The 21,045-nt window shown below is 43.1% G+C and overlaps 1 protein-coding gene across 5 annotated transcripts in view; it reads right to left on the minus strand.

The window, feature by feature from the left end:
- The window catches only part of GRIN2B (glutamate ionotropic receptor NMDA type subunit 2B), a 444,798-nt gene extending 426,209 nt beyond the window's left edge, over window positions 1-18,589 (minus strand). For 2 of the 5 annotated variants that reach the window (NM_000834.5, NM_001413994.1), the window contains exons 1-2: window positions 17,797-18,057; window positions 16,383-16,811 (exon numbers count right to left, since the gene is read on the minus strand). The gene's annotated coding sequence lies outside the window, so the exon portion shown is untranslated. Of the gene's footprint in view, window positions 1-16,382; window positions 17,301-17,796; window positions 18,058-18,370 lie in introns of those variants that run through there. The other 3 variants (NM_001413992.1, NM_001413993.1, NM_001413995.1) reach the window with 3 other exon arrangements.

Below are 21,045 nucleotides of genomic sequence, written 5' to 3' on the forward strand. Positions count from 1 at the left end.
CAGTTCCAGGCGCTTTACATACTTCACCTCATCTAACCTTCACATAACCTGCGTTTTACAGCAGAGGAAAAGCTGGCAGTCAAAAGTTGAAATGCCCTACCCAAAGTCACTCGGTGGCAATTCCAGGATTCTGAACTCAAGTCCCTTTGACATCAAAGACCCAGCTTTTGACTCCCATGGGCTGCCTCTCTGGGGAGTGGCACTAGGGCTCCCATCTTTACTTCTAGATGTTGAATATTCAAGATCTAGGCTTGCCTTGGTGTAAAAGCCACAGCAGTACCAGCCCAGGATCCTGAGGGTGCCAGGACTCAGCTGTCCTTGTAAGGCACTGCTTGGCACCCAGGACAAAATAGAGACAAATCTCCCATGGTGGGAAAGGTAAAGAGAGAATCCACTGAATATCAACTTTGAGAGGGGAGGAGAACCTTACGAGAAATTTTAAGAAATCTTCACCCTGGGGTCCTGATGGAGACTTAATCTCTGGCTGTGGCTAGAATTTGTTCTCAGGGCCTTAGACAAGAGTCAGAGTCCATTAGGGTGGACTGGGAGGTGGCTAACATAGTAGACAATTATAAAGAAAGCTAGTATTCCTCTATTCCAATATTATCTGAATCACATTCATCCCTTCCTAAGTACTTGCATCCCCTATCCCTGGGCGGTCACGTTGGCTCACCCGTGTCTGGGCCAGATAGCTGGGCTCCTACATTACTTGATTTCTGCCACCTTAAAGACACCATCAATTCTGCCTTCTTCTCTAGACATTTTTGCCCAAATCTCAGCTCCTGGTTTGTGTGAGCTCTTGGAGGATAGGCATTAAATTTGATTCCACAGCAAAGAGGCCCTGCCCTTGGCCACAAACCTTCATAAACATCCTATAAATGAATCCATGCGGTGGGTTAAACTTGAAAGACAAAAAAGTCAGGATTGCAAGGAAAAGCTGTTCTCCAAAGTCTTCACCTTCTAGAGACAAGTAACCAGAGGAATATTTGCCAGGGTGTGCCCTGGACACATAGTCCAGAGCAAGGGCTCTTAACCTGCCATTCATAGATGGGCTTCAGGGATGCTAAGTCCCCTAATAAATACTTCATGTGGAATTTGAGGCATTGGCACAAAAGTAGATTTTTCAGGGAAGAGGATCCAGAACATTCATTTTGGGAATTGCTGCTTCAATGTGTGGAATAAAGGTCAGGGTAGAAGTGGGAAGGCAGCAAAGATGAAGCGGGTTTGGGGGTCAAGGAGGGCAGCATGGACTTCACAGGCTGTAAGCCAGGCTGTTTGTGACGGCAGCGGTGCAAAGCTGACTCGCAGAACACCTCATTCCTCAGCAGGAGCTCAGCCTTCTTTGTTCAGACCTGAGAAGCAGGCACAATACTTAACTGTTCCCACCTTTGTTGAGAATGTTAATATAGGTTGGGTCCAAGCTCCCCCAGGTGAGAACCACATAGCATCTTTGGCATTGCCCTAGCTGGCAGCCACTGCCGTCACTCCATTTTGACCACCATCTATTTAACCCACCCCATTTTCCCTGTTTAGAAAGTAGAATCTCAGGATAAGCCAGATCTTAAACTTTTCTTACTTTTCCTTAATTACATATATCAGTTCCTGCAGCCTGCCAAGCCTGAAATCCTCACAGAGCCCCAGATCTAATAGGATTTGTTCTTTAAAAAGTCATTTTGAGGGTTCCTAGCCCTGGTCTCTTTAAGGTAACTGAAAGGTTTGATATTTTTTGCAACCTAGTATTTATGCTTATGAGTTTGTAATTTCTAGCCATCATCTCTTTTTTCAAAGAAGGTTATACACTGGCTCTCAGAGATCTTTCCAGTCCTCTGTGATTTTCCCAAATGGCAGCCTTTGGCCCTGCACTGGCCACTTCTTTGTTAAAGACATTTTAGAATCTGTCATGAAGACCTGGGGTTATTTATCATATTCTCCTTAATTAATGTTTTAAAATCCTCTCCAATTTTATGTTGGTCTTGTGTTCCCTAACTCATGCTAGAATCCAGATTACACACCACACACACACACACACACACACGTGTGTGTGATTGTATGTTAGTTACCAGTTCCCAATTATATTTCTAAGAAATTAAAGATATACTTCTTGTTCTTATGAAGATGGCTTTTACTGCTTTCCCTTTAATTTCTCATATAACTAAAGTTTTTCATTTTTTATTTCCTAATCATCTTTTCTAAATATAAAAATGATATGCTTTATTGTGGAAATTTTGGAAAGTAAAGATAGAGAGGTAAAATGGTAATAATTGCATCGCTCCTAAAGTCTTAAATCTTTTGCATGATATGTCAATCTTTCTTCTCAGATTTCACAACTTTTACCATTTCTGAAGATGCCTACCTTCCCACTGAAGTGGCTTTCTTTTTAGAATAAGACCTTTGTTTATCCGAGCAGGATCCCTCCAGACTTTCTCATCTAGGAGAGCAAGCTGATCTCCTAAACTATCTCAAGGCACCTGCAGAGGAGAAAGAGCCCCGGACATGAGATTCAGAAAAGCTGGGCTTGAATTCTAGGTTTTTCTTCCTCTTGACGGCATAATTTTGGGCAATCATTAGAGCACTTTATATCACTAGAGTACTTTGTACCTCAATTTCCTCACCTTTAAAATAGGGTTAATAGTTCATGCCCAGAATTCCTCCTGGTGAGTTCTTGGGAAGACCAAATAATGTATGAGGAAGACAGTATATATGAGAAAGCTATTGACACACTATCAAGCTTTAGAAATGTAAGTGATCAATATTATTACATCCAATTTGGTTTGTCTTTGCCTCCGTTGTCTTCCTTCATTGAAAACCTTCCTTTTCTTTCTCAAGTTTTGGCTTGTTTTAGTTTTCCTTACAGTTTTTCATGTGTGATCAGTTCATGGTGACTTTGTCCTAGGCTCACTTGAAACTTTAAATCCTCAATTAATTGGTTTCCATTTGTATCTTCTGCATTTTTGTACTAAAAATTCATGTTCTCTAAATATTCTAGAAACATGGCACCTCGTGGCCAGATTGTCTTTTCTTGCCAGATGTAATTTGATGAGATACTCAAAGAAGTCAGACTTGATCTGGAAGCTTCTAATTCAGAAATGACTGCTGGCCCTCTACATGGGACAACTAAGCATCACACTGCACCACCCAAACTAGCTCTGATCGAATACCTAGTGGGTTGGAAACAGGGGAAGTCACGATAATTAATATTTATACAATGCCTACTCTGTGACAAGTATTGTTGAAAGTGAAATAACTCACCTGATTCTCACAGTAACTCTAAAAACCCAGAATTATTAATACTCCATTTGATGGATAAGGAATCTGATAGTACAGAGAAATAAAGACATTTTCCCAATAAATGAACAAGGGTCAGAACATAAACCCTGGCACTATGACTCCTGAGTTCTTGCTCAGGAGAAAAACCACCATTTTCTGCCTCTGCCACCATGTTACACTGCAGAAAGAAAGGTGGAGAAGACAGTAGCAGGGAAAATGTAAAAAACCCAAGATGACAGCAAGGAGCTGAGGAAGTACAAGTGCTGAAAATACAACTCATTTCACCTTCTGCATAACTCAACAATTACATTAATTACACTCCTGTGCATTTCTGGAAGACTGTCTTGGCTGTGTCCTATAGCTAATGAGCACATCAGAAGAAAGAGGTCCACAAATCATTCACAGAAGTCCAGGTCCTAACCACCTTTCGAATCCTGCTGTGCACCCTTCTCTTTCTCCACTCTCTTCATTATGTAGAACCAGACACACAGTATGTTTCTTTTAAGTCTCTGAGCATCAAGTCAACCATAAACATTTACTACAAAGCTTAGAGCAAAGAGTTTAAGAGTGTGAACTTGAGCCAAAACGCCCAGTTCAAATCCTGGTTGTGCCATTTAAGCAAAGCAAGCTTTTAATGTCTTCATGTCTTAGTATCCTCATCTGTGAAATGCAGATAAATTTACATACCTCTATGGATGTTTGAAAGGGTTAAATTGGTCAATTCATGGAAAGCACTAAGCACAGAACCTGTAGGTGCTCACAACAAAGTAGCAGCCATCCATTAAACATCTATGGTGTGCCAGCATTCTGTTAGGCACACACCAGGACATGAGGGTGGATGCTGTTTCTCCCCTTGAGAAATTCACATCGGGAGGTGGGATGGATAGAGACACGATAGCAGTCCTTTCACATCCCAGGGTGGGCTATGGGAGCAGGAAGAGGCCAGTGATTCCAGTCTGTGGGCGACAGGAAGACCTGGAGCTGAGGATCCCTGAGCTGAAACTTGCAGGCATGAGGGGAGGTGGGGAGGGCACTGCAGTCAGAGCAAGAGGCATGAGCAAAGGCCTGGAGTGTAAATCAGCCTTTCACAGTATCCCTTGCCCCTGCCTGTGTCACCATCTCCATCTCTTTACTTCTTGGATCATGTAAAGATAAAAGATAAGCCTGGAAAAAACAGTTTCACACATAAAGCTAGAAAGATTAGTTTTGCTCTCCTTTCTGACAAGTATTTATCTAGTTTTCTCAATAAAATACTGTGAAAGAGAACCTGGGAAGGAGACATAGACCAAAGATTAAAAACTGCAGGTCACAATGTCTAGGTGCCACTCTGCATTCAGAATGCTGCGTACCTTGCCACTCACGGCATGTCTTGCCCATTAAATATTTTCCATTTTCTTGTTCACTGAGAGTGGATGCATTGAATTCAAGGCCACATCATACATTGAAAACTGGCTATTTGGAGCAGGATGCAGTTATTAATTATTATTTCATATAGCCCATGTGTATATTACGCTTATGGTTGAGGAGATTTTTTACATTTCCTCATTCAGTCCACAAAACGACATCTTTACAGGGGTCAACACGATAACTGGCTCCCCTAAAGACCTCATTTTACAGATGAGGAAGTGAGTTCAGCAAGGTTGTATAGTTTGCCTGAGTCACACAGTGCTGGCCAGGGTGGGGCCAAGATGGGATCTGCTCAACAGGGCCAAAGACCAGTGCCTCTCTCCTCAATTCCACCTTGCTTCAAATTACTGAAAGGCCTTTTTAAAATATGCATGTGGTAAAGTTAAGGCACTCCATGTGGCACCAATATATATCCTCTTTCATAATAGAAAGAAAAGATATGGGGAATTTAACCTTTGTATTTTATATTTATTTTCTATAAAACTGCCCTCTGAGTTAATAGCTGATAGAGATATTTGAAACAAAACTAGCTCACTCACGTCCTTTTTGGAATTTCCTCTTTAACAATGATGACCCCTGTTAATAGTAAAATCCAAGCACAAAGCCATACTTAGGACTGCCATTCTCTTGCACTTAACCATTAGTCTCTATTCAAAGGAGTAGTTTGCAAATGGGTTTGAGAAAGAAATAGATGCAAGAAAATGGAGAATCTTCAAAATGTCCAAGATTACATGATCAGAGAGAAGTAGATTGTTCCTTCCCTCTTAGAGGAACCAGAGTCTTCAGGTTCAGAGTTGAAATATATTTACAGAATGGTAGGGGTAGGCTAAGATGATGATACTCAGGCCTTAGCCATATGTGAAATGAATGAGATGCTTATGGCCAGTACCATGAGTTTCTCATCCTTCATCCTCACTGAATTAAATTAAGGTCCAGAAATCAACTATTTTGTAGGGATCCATTTTTTCAGTTTAAAACAACTTTGCCTTTTACCAACAGCAAAGCCCCAAGAGAAGGGATCTAGAAGAAAATCACTTTAGCTGAAGTTTCCAAGTACAGGCTGTTTATGAGTTCCCCACATGCAACATAAACCTTTATCTTTTTTAACATGGAAGCAACTCTATATAATTTAAAGAGTCAGGGCTTAGAATCAGAAGATGTAAGTTGGAACCCTAGTTTGCTCCTTATAGCTGTGTAACATTCAGCTCTCTACTCCTCAGTTTATCTGAGAAACAGAAATAATGTCAGCCTTGTGGTGAGGATTGAGTAATGTGCATTAATATAATCTAGAAGATAATTGGCATAATCTAGAATATAATTTTCCATAGAAATTTGTCTCCAGCAAAGGCAAGGCAATTCCTCATAGATAACTATATTTAGACTGACAGCAATAATTCTTAGCATTTTCATTCCACTTCTTGTCTTTAAAGGATATACAAATTCTGATTACATAATTCCAGGACCTTCTCACTCCTTTTCCTAATCTCTGTCTCAGTTGCGTAAATGCAGACTTATCAATAAACTAGATTGCCTGCAATGGTTACTGAAAGATCATTTATGAGTTTCAGTGTCAAACTTGAATTTTATGTTGAAATCAAAGCAGCTTTGTAAATGGGTACATAATAAAAAGGAGAGGTTGAGAAGGTAACCATGATCCCATTTATTCCAGACAGTCCAGGCTGGAGTGCAGTGGTGCAATCTCAGCTCACTGCAACCTCTGCCTCCCAGATTCAAGCAATTCTCCTGCCTCAGCCTCCTGAGTAGCTGGGATTATAGGCAACTGCCACCGTGCCCAGCTAATTTTTGTATTTTTAGTAGAGATGGGGTTTCACCACTTTGGCCAGGCTGGTCTCGAACTCCTGACCTCTTGATCCACCTGCCTCGGCCTCCCAAGGGAGAGTTCACTTCTAGTTGGGGAGATCAAGCAAGACCTCATGGTGGAGCCTGCCTTTGAGATGAGCCTTGAGGAATGAACAGTATTTACATGGAATTTGAAAGGAAGGGCAATAGCATAATTAGTGATGAGAGAGAGCTTTTTGAAGAAATGTCCATATCGAACACAATGTGAAAGGAAGCTCAAAGAACTGAGGCACTAAGGAATGAGTATATTTTCACTTCATCAGCCTAAAGCTGGCACTAAAGATACTTTCGTCTGTTCCACTCTAGTAAATCTCACCCAAAGCATTAAGAGGTGCTTGGATGGCAAGGAAATAGAAACATAAAAGGTATAAACATGTCAGCTTTATCTTCAATGCACGTTCATTTCCATCATCATCTTTACCAACAACCAATATTTTCTGAGCACTGACCATGTGCAGAGAGCACTCTGCTAACCACTGAGGACATAAAAGGACAAAGTCATAAATCTTGTCCTCACAGGAAAATAAAAAATTAATAAATTTGATCACTTTAACAAATTTGATCACTTTTAAACAAAAGTGATTTCTCTTCTACATGCAGGCTCTAAACACACACACACACACACACACACACACACACACACACATCCAGTATTTCTTTCTTCAAAAATCCAAAGGGTAGCATTCTCCTACTCAGGAAAGATCTTTCAAATCTGAGCACCTGTATTTGGCCAGGGTAGAATTTCTTCTGCAGTCCTTCTTCCTATGTGAACTGAAGGAAAAACCAGGATACAGATGTAAACAAAATCAAATAAAAACTGAAATATTCTCCATTCCCCCTCAAGCTCAGAAACAATTCTGGAGCCTCTAACAAGGTGATGAGAGGAAGAACCACGAATCACAAAGACAGCAATTGTGGCTCCACAGAGCTCACGGGTGAAACTGATCTATCTGCATGGTAACAAATTCCAGGGTAAAGGCTGCAGTAGCTCCATGATTTGGATGTTTTGCCTGTGTGGGGCCAGCCAGTAGATATTTGAAAAATTCAAATCGAGGAGTATGCGTCTTAGTTTTCTCCTAAATATTTAGTGCCTCACACCACCACACAGCCCACCAAACACCAGAGTCCAAACCACACTCATACCCTTTCTCTTTTATCTTCAATGGCTATTAGCAGCTGTCCAAAAGAGAAGTAGTGTTTTTATTCTTTTATAGTTTGTCTTTTTAAAGACACGGATTCATAAATCTGGGTTTTTTCTTGCCTCTGTACATTTAGGTTCACATTTATTTTAAAACAGGGAAGAGAGTAAGCCAAAAAGGAAGGATGTGAGAAAACTATTAACCCAGCCAGCCTAATAATCAGTGATTAAAGTTACAGTCAGAGAAGAACGACATCTTGATGCCTCCTACCCTCTTCCTCCTCTGCGTGCCTTTAATATTCTACTTCAGGCACTGAGAGGGAGGGCAACAGGGCTAGTGAATTCCAACTAGCACTCAGATAATTGCACCATTCACACCCCTCACCAATCAATCAAGGTCTGCTTAGCCAGCCCCATTTATTAATAGTTTTCCTACATTTACACTGTTACAAAGGACCGAAATGAGGTTTTTTCTCCGAAACAAGAAATGGGGCACCCTCAATAAAGACTAAGTGGAACAGAGGATGTTTGCAAAACCAAGAACTGCTCGCCCTATTTTGCAGCCACACCTGTTTTAAGGGCGTCAGGAAAGCATTCTCCCTAAGTTTCCTAACTTTCAACACCAGGCCAGTGTTAGTGTTGAGAGAGCTTCCCTTAATTCAAACCCCAGTTCCACCCCTTGGGTGCAAGCTGTAGACTAAGTACCGTCATATCCCAACAGCATTTTTTTTTAACTTCTGGCCCAGGGACCCTCCACTAATCATAGAACAGTTTAACAGTGACAAGGTCTTACCTTCATGTTAAAATGCTAGTGTAACATAATGTTTAGAGCTAACAGGTGCCTTGTCAATCATCTTGCCCAGTCATTCTCAAATATGGCTTCGCATTAGAATCCTGCAGGGAAGTTTTTTAAATGACCATCGCCTGAATCCCTCCCTGAGAGATTTCAATTTAACTCTTTGGGGTAGGGTCTGAGCATGGGCATCATTCTTTTCTTTGTTGTTATTCTTGTTTAGTTTTTTGTATTTGTTTTTGTTTAAGCTCTGTGGATGATTTTGTTATTGAAGTGGAGTTCAAAATCACTGCTTCAGACTATTGTCACTTTATGGAAATTAGAAAATTGAGGTCCAGAGTCAACGGTTTGTACATGGTCACAGAATAAAGCAACACAAGCAGAATTAAATATAAGCTTCTGACTCCTAAGACCACCACCTCCTAAGACCACCACCTCTTTCATTATCATATAGGCAGCTACTGGACAGCCTGGAAAAACCTAACATTTTTAAAGACCCATTACATATAAGAGAGAACTCCGGACTCTGATGCTATGTAGATGAGCAAATGCACACCACTGGCTGATTTAGGGCCATGCATTCCAAGGGGGCTCTTGGGGGCAGGGCACGGGAAAGGAAAGTACTGAAATGAGGGTCAGTGGACGTGGCTGACCACATTATGTGGCTTTAGGCCACATGGCCAACCTTAGGACTATTTTCACAGTTTTTAAAGGGTGGTTGTCGAGGAGGACACGTAACCTCCAAGGTGACTGTCAGCATTATTGTTCTATTATCCTGTGCCACACACAGAGACCACATGCATTATTGTCCCTAAATTGCACACATTTAATGCATTTAAGATTTTGGGGCCTACTATATTTGGTAGGTAAGTCACTGCACAAACATATCCATCCACACACAAGTCTAATATGCACAGGTGTGTGGGGGGTGTGTGGATTTGGATACATATCCAATACACTAATCTCGAATCCAAAGTACAAACTGCTATGGCATCTGTGTGACCAGACTACGGCCCCTAGAAGGTGGGAGGATTAGTTAAGAATGTCGGCCATTTTCACAGAGAACAATTAGCTATGGGAAAAAGAATGAGCGTCCTCACCTGAGCTTCAGGCTTCTGAGACTCTCTTCTCCCTTCCTGTAACCATGTAGTGCTTTTATTCAGCCATTGTTTTTAAGTCCCCCCTCTTAAAAAGAAACAAGATCTGATTTCCTAAGAAATTCTATGTGGTTGAAGCCCTGAGTGGGTCTATATAAAGATTAATGGGAACTTTAAGCTTGACATTTCTTTCTAAAGAAAGAAATTTTCAGTCTGAGTGAGGCAGTGAGGAAAGACACAGAGGATGGCGTGTAGACAGCATAGTTTGCCGTTGGTGAGTTGAGTGAGCAGTTCAGAGGGTTAATTCATTGAAACTTTAATTGTCTTAATCTAGGAAGCTCCTCTACTACAGACTTTACGCTCCCCATCAAGCTGGGCTCCAAGGAGGGCCAAAGCCTGTAGCTTCTCTCTCCTTCCAGGTCTGCCATTCACAGAGAGCTGGCCCTGCTTCCCCTCCACCGCCTTCTCAGGGACCCTGGGCACAGCCTCATCACTGTGCCTCCCCTGCTCTGCCTCTCAAGTCCCCTTGGAATGCCTGACTCTTAGGTCAGTCAATGGTGGGAATTTACTCACCCACATATCTTCAGATCCAGGGTACTCTCTTTATATGTAATGCATCTTTAATAAGTCATCAGGCTGAGCTTAGGTTTCTTCTGCTAATGAAACAAATACAAACCACAACATACAAAGAATGGTGAAAGTGTAGATAAATGGTAAAAGGATAAGGAGCAGAAAAAGATAGAAAATAAATTTAGGGAATCATCCATTTCAAGCCCATCTTCCCTTAGGCACCAATGCTATAGTTTAATCAAGAGGTGACTGAAGGTGTCTCCCCAGCATCTCCACACCTGGACATCCCCAGGAGTAAAAACCTCTAAAATATCAAGCCACTCTAAATAGACTACCAAAAAGCATTTTGTGAATCCCCTAGGAATAATGGGATCCCTCTTCATCCATCACTCCCTTTGCCATTACAGAAAGCAGCTGGTGTCTGAAGGGCATGGCAACTTTTTACCTCCCTACTCCAGAAACACATGGGCTAGGCTGGTCCTTCATTCTGAGTAGCTTGGCCTGGGCTAGGATCCAGGTTTCCCTTTGGACACAAACCAACTAACAGCTGTCCCTTTCTTTGTAATGGCCATCAACAGAGTTAGCTGCAATCCAGTGGTCTAAGATGAAAACTGTATCATTTGCTCATTCTAGAGGCAAGTCTAATAAACAAGGCTAGGATTTCACTAACTATACAATCATGAAAGCAGAAATTAGAGCCTCTTCCTTCTTTTAAGACGACCCTGGCTTTATTCTCTAACCTTGTCATTTGTAATCTGAAATTCCTAATCAAAGAAGCAGCAAATTCCTGTGTTGTTCTTTTCCTTGAGTTAAGGGATGCAAGGAAGAGCGGGAGGCTTGCCTTTTACACCAACTTTCCTCTTCATATGCTTTCTGTCCTCCTAAAATGACCTGTCTTTCTGTATCCTATAAATCTCCTATTTTTTCCTCAAGACATAATTTAAATGTCAACCCCTCCATGAAGCCCTCCTCACTCTCCCAGATTTCTCTCCTTTTTAGATCTTACCTAAATATATAATTATCTCTTTATACATGTCCACACCACTAGATCCTGGGCTACACCACTAGATCCTGCTCCACACCACTAGATCCTGGCAGGTACAGACAGAGCTAACTCTTTTTCATAGCACAATATTCTTAAATGTTGTTGAATAATTGAACAAAGCAAAAGACATGAAAATAAATGAAGTTAAAAGAACAGTGTAAAAGAGACTAAGAGACATTAACAAAAAGATAAACTAAAAAGCAGGAGGACATAAGAAGAAAAAAAAGAAAGAGAGGAATCAGTTATGAGAAGCATCAGAATAAGAGAGCACAGAATGAAAAGAGAGCAGGCAAAAGATGTGCATAGGTGGAAAGAGTGAAAGAAGAGAGGAGATGGGTGAACTTAAATATACAGGTTTCTTTCTGATTTAAAAAACAAAACAAAAAAAGAAGTGCTGGAATCCCAAAAGTAGAATACAAGCACAACTGCCAATGTTCTGGTGCCAAGGCCACTAACCATGGTCTGTAATTAAAAGCAGGGATGGTGTAGACCTGTGAAGCGTGGTCCAGCAACTCTGGCGTCAACTGATAGCTCATTAGAAATGCAAAATGTGGAGCCCCAGCCCAGGTTTACTGAATTAGAATATGCAGTCTCACAAAATCTCCAGATGATTTTAATATACGATAAAGTTAGAGCAGCACTGACGTAGATATTTAAAATCCACAGATAACTCTGCATTTCACTCTAATCAATGGCATGGTGTACAAAGCACTGGTGCTAAAGAAGTTATACAACCTTAGGAAAATCACTTAATGTCCCTGGATCTCAATTTCTTTATTAAATGAGAAGTTCAGAGTAGATGCTTTCTAAAGTATCACATAGCTCTGATATTCTTGATCTCATCTAACAACAAAATTTTAACCCTTCCTAAACCCAACAGAACAAACAGGTAGCATCATCAACTAATTAATATCTCACTTCCTTTCTCTGTTCATTTATTTAACATTTTCTGATAATCTATTATGTGCTAGTCACTACGCTAAGTACAAATGATTCTAAGATGAATAAAACATCTCTCCCTGCCCTTGAGGAGTGCACAAACTTCTTAGGGAAACAGGGCATATAAACAAAGTCAGGATAAACTAAGAAGCATGAGCACATGCTGGTGAAGACCAGAAAGGAAGGCAATTCCACAGCCTGGGGCAGCCATGGAGAGTTTCACCAAGGGGACAAGGTAGACGTGCATGAGGTCCCTTCTCTGCCAACCTCTGCTGAAAGTACTAGGAAGTGAAAAGACCAAAAATAAGGTGGAGAACATCAAGAAAACAACTAAAGGTTCATAAACACACCTTGCTGGGTTCACAATCCCCCAAAATGTTCACAGCACAATGGATTCTGTGTAATGGCCGCAGGCACCATTAACAGCCGCAGGTGAACCTCAAAAACCCACCTTCTCTGAGCTATGCCTGCTCTTTCATCCCGACTACATTCTGTTCTAGCTTTGGCCTCCTTCTGGAAGATATCAATTCAACCACTAATCTACTCTCCCTGGAGACTTCCTCTTGTGGTTGCAAAGAGTAGATGCACTTTAATAAATGCGAACAATTCATTAGACCAGTAACTCTTTTGATCTATATTTATTTACAATGAGAGACAATACTGGCATCCAATCATGTGCACAGGAGCAGCGACTGAAAATGTAGTTTACTGAAAGGAAGAAATTTCTAGAATTCCTAAGGATGGGGTAGAATGGCACTGAGGAAAAAGAGGAGCTTCATTTTTCCAGCTCAGCTACTTTTGACTCCAACAAAATACACAAGATGAGTGGTTTTGTCGGCCCCAGTCTTCAATATTAAAGACACAAGACTATCGTTTGGAACAACAGTTTTCCCATCTTTAGAATGGTGAGTTCAACCCTGGCTTTTTTCTCTTCCCTAGCTTCTACATGCTGATTTGGGATTATGATTTCTTCCCATACAATTTGTCCTTTCACCTGTCTCCTTTTATAGTCCATCAATATTATTTATAGCCCATAAATATTAACAATTTTTTTACTTTAACCTGTTAGTAGTATATATGTCACCTTTGTTTTCAGATTCTTAAACAAGAATATAGAAAAAAAAAATCCTGCCCCCAGGGTTTATTGTATTCATGGAGGAACTGGAAGAATGTTTTACAAGGTAATATTGTGGCCAAGGGATGCATCAGCTCAGTCCTGTTTCTCCCAAACACCCCTCATTCCACCAGCCAATTTCAGTCCATTTGCCCACCTCCCAGGTGCCCCCTGCCTCTCCCCACACAAGACTGGGTGAATGTACATGAAGGTCAGGGAAGACAGTCAAGATTCCAAAGCTATCTTTCTGGAGGTAAACCAAGAACACAAAATCAAGGTTCCTGCTGTTCATCCCTTCTCCAGAGGAAGTCGCTCTTCTCAATCAGCCTTAAAGAAAAGCACTTGGTGTGCAAAGTATTGAATTGAGGATTTTTTCTCTTTCCCCTCCTTTCCTGTCATTTCACCTTCTTATTGATTCTCTCTGCCTGCGTCCATCCCTGGCAAAAATTGCATATATACATTAGCAAAGCATGGATCTTCAGACAGACAGGCTTCCTAGGGATGGAACCAACGGGAGAGGAAAAATTAGACAATCCAGTGGTACTCCCGGCTCCTCTCCTCACATGTAACACCTAACTCTAAACTGCCACATCACTCTGTGTTCACAGATCCGCCATGCTCTGCCACACCTGAAACAGACATAGAAGATAACCATGTTGTTCTGCTTCTCTTGAAATCACCCACCTAATGTCCTTAACTGTGTCCTGGGAAGTCTTTATTTCCCATTATTATTACTTTTCTTAATTGCACATCATGGAGGTTCCTCGATTGAAATTAAATTTGCTCTTCCTCCCACCAGCCGCCACCTTTCTTTCCCATGTCACCCACATTGTAAGGGGGCTGGCAGAAGGAGAAAAGACAAAATAGAACCCAGTCAGCTCTGTGCTGTGAGGGGGAAAAAGGGGGCGAGAACAAAGGCCCTGAGATGGCTCAGAGCACCACTGAGTCACAGCCTCACAGAGACTGCCTGCGAGGATGGGGAACACCTGCTTCCTCATCAGGGTCTCCAAAATGGCTTTGCATGGTGAAAAGGCACAGACCACCTGTGGCGATTCCTCCTTGAATCTTAACAAGCCTCTTCCAGTTGGATTACCTCTCCTTTCCCTTTATAGCTTCCCCACCCACTTTTTCCTCTCTTCCTCAACTCCCTCCCCTTTCAACCTCGCCTAGTCTTAGGGACAACTAATGATAGCCTGGAACCTGGCTTCATCCATTGGCATTCAAGATAAATGAGGTAGCTGAGATCCTGTCAAACAGCATCCTTGTCAAACCCATCACCAACAAACGAACATTCCAAAGGACCTACTGGGTGTAGAGTACTGGTGTTGTGGCACTGGGGATGCAAAAGGGGCCCTGTGCCCCATCAATGCCCTCCTCTCCTTGTCCATCTGTATGTATGAAAGCATTGCACATGGAGCTGCCTTTCTCACCCATACCTCTTTTCTATTTTGAAGTCAAATTAAGAGTTCATCCTCCTACTTGGAGTGGAAGCAGATGGAGAATGAGTTCAGGTGTCTCTAAGGTGAGCACACACCAGATAACCTCAGTCATTTGTAGACGTGGTGAGAACATGGTTCAAAGTGGGATCCCACCCTCTCACTCTGATTACACCATGGTTACAAAGTAGCATTTCAGCAGTAAAACTCAAAAGAATGAAACCTAGAGAAGGGGGATAGTGAATTTGGATTACATCTATCCTTTCTGGACAATGAAGAACTATCATCTACTGTCATGTTGAGCGACAAAGATCTTTCACCTCTTCCCCACATCCCTTTGGTATTTTGGATTATCAAAGAATTGTTGTTTTAAAATGCCAGAAAAAAAAATTGTGTGTGTGTTGGGGTGGTGGTAATACTTTTAGGAAAAATAATGATGCTAATGATTCTGCTACATGTTTTTGGAGATCTTTATCCCAACCTGATCCCTGCATTTAGACGCCTTCAGAGTTCAGGGACATATGGTCAGTGGAGCAAGGAAAGGAGCAGCCCACTCACCATCATGGCCCTCCAACCCATGAATGATCTGATTCTCTCAAGAGTTGTCTTGGATTGCATGAGTGACTAGCTGAAGAGTCATTAGCTAAGTCTTTTCCATTTCTCCTGCTATTTCTCTTCTCAAGTACATTAAAATACTGCCTAATCACATTTCACATATTGTAAAAATTGATGAAAGGGAAAATGTTAAAGTATTAATTCCATTTTTGAGGGTACAAGACTAATACATGCAAACAGCACATCTCTTTGTTTAACACAAAGACTCACGTGTCGAATTCTGCACCCCTTCCACATGCACAGCATTTTAGAACTCTGCAAGATAGCCATTTTGCAAGAGTGTAGAAGTAACAGTTTGCTTGGAGGATGTGTGGGTATAAATAGATATGTAGACAGAAGGAGAAATTTACAGCTCAAAAATAATAGCACAGGAAAAAATACAAATTAAAAGCAGAATATTGACAGAATTCCTCCTTTCCGAGCTTAAGATTTAAGTCGTTTAACCTGCAGCATCCTTCAATTCCAGGTGTTCTGAGACCAGCCCGATCCCCACCTAGACCTACCCCTCTGCAATAGGCCTCCCGGGATCTCTGGGCCCCTTGTCAACCCTTTAGACAGCAAGTGGATTTCAGGGCAACAATCACAGTAATCTCAATCATTATTTTTATCTGTTTTAAAGGGCATAGAAAGGATGCCTAGAAAGGTAAAGACAGGAGACAGGGAGAGAGGCATGAAGGTGACAAGGGGAATAAAGCCAACCTGAAAAAAAAAAAAAAAAAGGATTTCTAGATTCCCATAAAAATCGGAGCTTTAGTTCTGGGTGAATAAAATGCTATTTAACTGGAAAATCACACAGGTCTCCTGGCTGGCTATGTCTATAGATATAGATACATTCCCCTGATGCCATCCAACATCTTTTGTGCCTGCATACATCCACCCCCACTGCCCCCCAAAAGCCCAAAACCTGTTAGATGAGAGAAGAAAAAGAAAAAACATGGGAGATTTCCTTCTTTGTAATAAGCCTTTTTTCCCAAAACAGCATTATTTTCATATCTTGTGACCTTTTCTTCCAAAAAGATCCACTTGAGGGACTCGAAGAGATAGATAAAATGAGGAATCCCTACCCCAGGTGAGGAAAAAATAAAATAGAATTTGCCCTACCTTGGTTTGTAGAAGCCAAACCTCTAGACGGACAGATTAAGGGAGTGAGCATGTTGGGAATGTCCAGTCCCTTCTTCTCGCTTGCATATCCACATAAGAAAGACGAAGGATAAATGAACGGAAGATAATTTAAAATCCAATTTAGCGTAAATTTTGTTTTAATCTTGTGTCTTGAAGAGATGCAAATTCAAAAAAAAAAAGATTTAATTCAAAGGTAATTCAGGGTATGGAGAGCAGCTCACAATGCAGAATCCAGAGTAATTATTCCGTGTGCATGTGAGGTTAGTGGCTGGAATAGATTTTTAACGCTTCTTCTGGCAATTACGGTTTTTGGTTTTTGGAGCGTTAGTGGAGGAGGCTCTGTGTGGAGAAGCTGGGGGCCGGCTCCGTCCCTCGGTGGAGCATGGTCATTCCCAAAGCGTCCCCTTCCTAAGGGGGAAAAAGAGGCGGTCAGGGCTTGATTCGCGTGTCCCCCGGAGGGTGAGAAAAATGCATTCCGAAAAAGATATCAATTCGTTTTAAGGAAAGGGGGGAGGAAACCCCGCATTTCCCACAGAGTGCACACGAGAGGAATTGAAAACAGCTGGTACCGGTCTATAAATAATTCAGAAAAGGTCTGGCTATACCATTCCTGGGACAGGCACGGATGAGAGGTGGGAAAGCCAACCTGAATGGAAGAGGAGAGAGGGAGGGAGCGAGCGAAGGAGGGAAGTGGGAAGGAAGGAGGAAGGGGGGGAGAAGCGGCACCATACAGCAACACACACTCACACACACGCAGAAACACAATTCCCACTTAACTCGCCAGCGAGTGCGGCCCCCAGCCCCATCTGCATTGCTGCTGACTTGTCTCGCTCGCTCTCCCCATCGCCTCCAGCAGCAGCGCCGCCTCCCACCCCGGGCTTGTGCTGAATGGGTTCTGATTGTGCACGGGGTGCACACTGGGCATTTCTTGGAAGGGGCACACTGACGCGCGCACACACGCCCCCGACGCGCACGCGCCCCGCGCGCACTCACACTCACCCCCGCGCACACTCACCCCCGCGCACACTCACGCTGCCGCCGCGCTGAGGTGCAGCGCACGGGGCTTCACCTGCAACGTGTCGATTGGACGGATGGGCTCGGCGCGTGGGTCCGGCCCGGGGCGCCGCTGCCCTGCCCCTCTGCTAGGTGAAGGGATGAAACCCCCCAAAAGACCAGAGACAGCCCTACCCAGTCACAGCACCCCCTCCCCCACAAAAAAAAAAAACCTTTAAAAAAGCCACGTCCAAATTAGCAAGTGCCGGGTTCTGCTGGATTTCAGAGCTTTACCTCATGCCAGATTCGTTCACGATTTCACGGCTTCGACCCTTTATCTGCCTGACACCCCCAAACCCCTACATTCAAAGGAGAGACTCCAAAGCCCATCTTTACGTACCGGCTCCGAGCGCCTCCGCGGTTGCAGTCTGCGGAGAGGGGTGGCCGGTGGCTGGGAATGGAGGGTTTTCCTTTCCTGCAAAGCAGGATTAATGATCCGTCTCGGGGGTTTTGAAGTTCATGACTCTTCTTTGCAAGGCAAAAGGATATGCATTCGGACGCCAGCACTACTGGATGGTGGTGATCAAGAATCACCCTTGACGAGCACTCTCGATAGAGCGAAGCCCCGAGATTTCCTAGAGGTGAAGAAGCCGGAGGAAGTGGTTTTTGAAAGGGGGTGGGGGGAACCTTCCTTTCTCAAAAAGAGGTGGGGGGTGGAGAGGCAGGAGCCCAGATTCCAGTTGGTGAGGATCGGAGCCGGGGGAAGGGAAGCGGGCGGGGGCAGGCTGTGCAAGTCAACCGCGCGGCAGCCGGAGAGGGAGAGCAGGAGGGGAGGAGGGGAGCGTCAGAAAAATGGGTATTAATCACCGGGGACGGGGGGAGGCGCGGGGAACGCAGGTTGCCTGGTCTGGATTTGGGTCTCACACTCAAAAACGTGCCGCGCACACACACACAGACACACACACACCCCCTACCTCGCACACCCTGACTCCGGGGGGAGGAGAAACCCACGAAGCTGGGGAAGATACTGCTTCTGCTCCCAGGGGCGGGTGTGAGCGCGCGTGTCCTCTTTCTCCACACCCCCCACCCCACCCCACCCCCAAGCCCCTGCACCCCCTCACTCCTCTTGCTAAGACTCTGGCGGAGGCAGCTTCCCACGTCATGTGCTGGGGAAGTGGGGTGGTAAGGTGGATGGAAGGGGGACGGAAGGGGGAAGAAGCTTAGCCCGAGTCCGTGGCGCCTCCTCCCGGCCGCAGCGGGGAACAGCACCGACGGAGAGCGGCTGAGGGGCGAGGGGAGCTAGACAGTGCCCCCCGTGGGCGGCCCGCGGGCTGCGGAAAGCATCTCCAAGGCGGAGCTGTAGTTCGAAATTGAAGACCCTTGCTGTATTTTCCATAAATCAGCCTGTGCTTCCTACGAGCATTCTGTGTGTCGGACGCAGTCTGGGACCGGGTTCTTTCTTGCCTTCAAGGAGCTTAAGATCTATCTGAGCACACGAGGCTGACGCCTAACACAATAGAAAACAAAGCAAAGCAGGTGTCATTCGTGGCTAAATTGTATAGTATGGACCATACGCGTGCTTTTCTGGCTGCTAGTGAAGGCGGGAGGAGTTTGACATTTTTTATTAAAGTGGATCCTGTTATTTAAATGCCTTGAGAAGAGAAGATGGTGAGGCCCGTGAATAATCCCTAAAGGAAACTGGATTTCCTGGCATTTACAAACCCACCCTCTTTGAAAAGGCAAACATCCATTCATTTCTCTTCCTATTGAACTCTTTTATATTTTAATAGCCCTTATCACCACCTGTAGTATTGTTTACTTTTAACATTAATATTATTGTATATGCATCATTTTCATTCTCATCCATTGTCTTTTCAAATATCTAGAATACTACAGTGGTGGAACATTTTCATATTGGTTATATCATGGGCTTCTCACCAGCATTCCTGAGAAGCGGCCATACAAACGCACAGGAGAGAAGGCTGTGTGAGTGGATATACCTAGTGGCTTGGAACTTTAGTCTGTAGAAGCCATCAGATATGTTTTTGCTGTCCTGTAGACCAGACTACTCATACTTCTGAGCTACAGTAATTCTTCTGTTTCCTGGTTTTTCTCAGGCTTAATTTTTGAATCTAACATATTTAACACACACGAACACATAAGCATTGTGTGAAAACACAAATAGAGTGTGTTCACATGCAAATTATTCCTTCTCAGTAATGGTTTTCTATTTTTCTAAGAGTTAGAACTGATCTTTCACTACTTTGGGGAAGTGTCGAAGCACCCCAGAGTTGCTGTGCCCTCTTGATACACAACAGCCAACCCAAGCCCCTCTAATAATTTGTCTCCAGGGTTTTCAAGTTCACCTGCCTATGGGCAGGTTTGCAGTTGTTAGAACGCCGATTCCAAGAGGAGTATAGAATGCAGAAAGCAAGAACCTAATAGAGATTTCCTGAAACACTCTTCCCTGAATTTTCCAGGAAAATTACCGTTACCTGGTCCATTAGCTTCAGAATAACATCCAAGCTCACTCAAGGATCTTCATGGGTTGACCTTGAATCTACTTTTTAAATTTTTATATTTTTTATTTCTGGCTCATAGCCCACGTTCCCCTTCCTATCCTCAGTCCCTTCACCAAAATTATACTATTCTTCCCTATTTTCTTTCCTTTTCCTCCCTACCTGAACCCTGTTGCAATTCCATTCCACCCTGTTCACTTTTCCAAGTGTACAGGGAAGAATGAACGCTCATACTTCCTCCACCTAATTGAGTCCACACTCCTCTTCAGTTTCCAGCTCAAGTCCCACCTCCTCTGGGGATATTTTTCAGTCAACCAAGCCTGAATTGATTTCTGTAAAAATTGCAAGAATTTTGAAATGAGAGATGACACCTCACCACCATCCCCTCCACTCTCATTTTCTGTATTCAGCAATGTATGGAAGAGTTTGCTTGATCAGTTATCAAACTGACTGGGTGATAACTTATTGCATTCATTAACCAGGTACTGGCCCACTATAGGGAAAAATATTACCTCTGTAGCTATTCATGTTGAACCATGTGAGACTATTGATATTCAATCATACGAAATTGCCAATCATATGAAATAACCATTATTGACATATAATAAAAAGGCAATTTCATAAAGTTAAACTTAAAATTATATTCTGGTGTCAATTTCCTGTCTTCCAAACTAGTTGTTTAGCTCCCTAAGGGGACAGACCATAACCTAAGTCATCCATATATTCCCAGTACCTGGCTCAATTCCAGACATGCAGTAGAGGTTCAATAGATATTTTTTATGACTATTTGAAGCCACTTTATCAAGCAGTTTTTCTGGTTCTGAAATAGCTAATTCTAGGGACCACACAGATTGTGAAGTGGAAAGTAATATCCCTTGCCCATGGCATTCATTGCCCATTGACTACTCAATGGAACTAAGATTCGTCTCCTTTTTTTCTGGCTCCTTGTCACTCACTTGCTCTTCTCACTAATAACCTTTGCCTTCATGGACCATAAGCCTCTCAATAAAACTATTTCAGCCAGGTGTGGTGGCTCACACCCGTAATCCCAGCACTTTGGGAGGCCAAGGCGAGTGGATCACCTGAGGTTGGCAGTTCAAGACCAGCCTGACCAACATGGAGAAACCCCG

Source organism: Homo sapiens, chromosome 12 (genome assembly GCF_000001405.40).
Source record: "Homo sapiens chromosome 12, GRCh38.p14 Primary Assembly".
Taxonomy (NCBI): domain Eukaryota; kingdom Metazoa; phylum Chordata; class Mammalia; order Primates; family Hominidae; genus Homo; species Homo sapiens.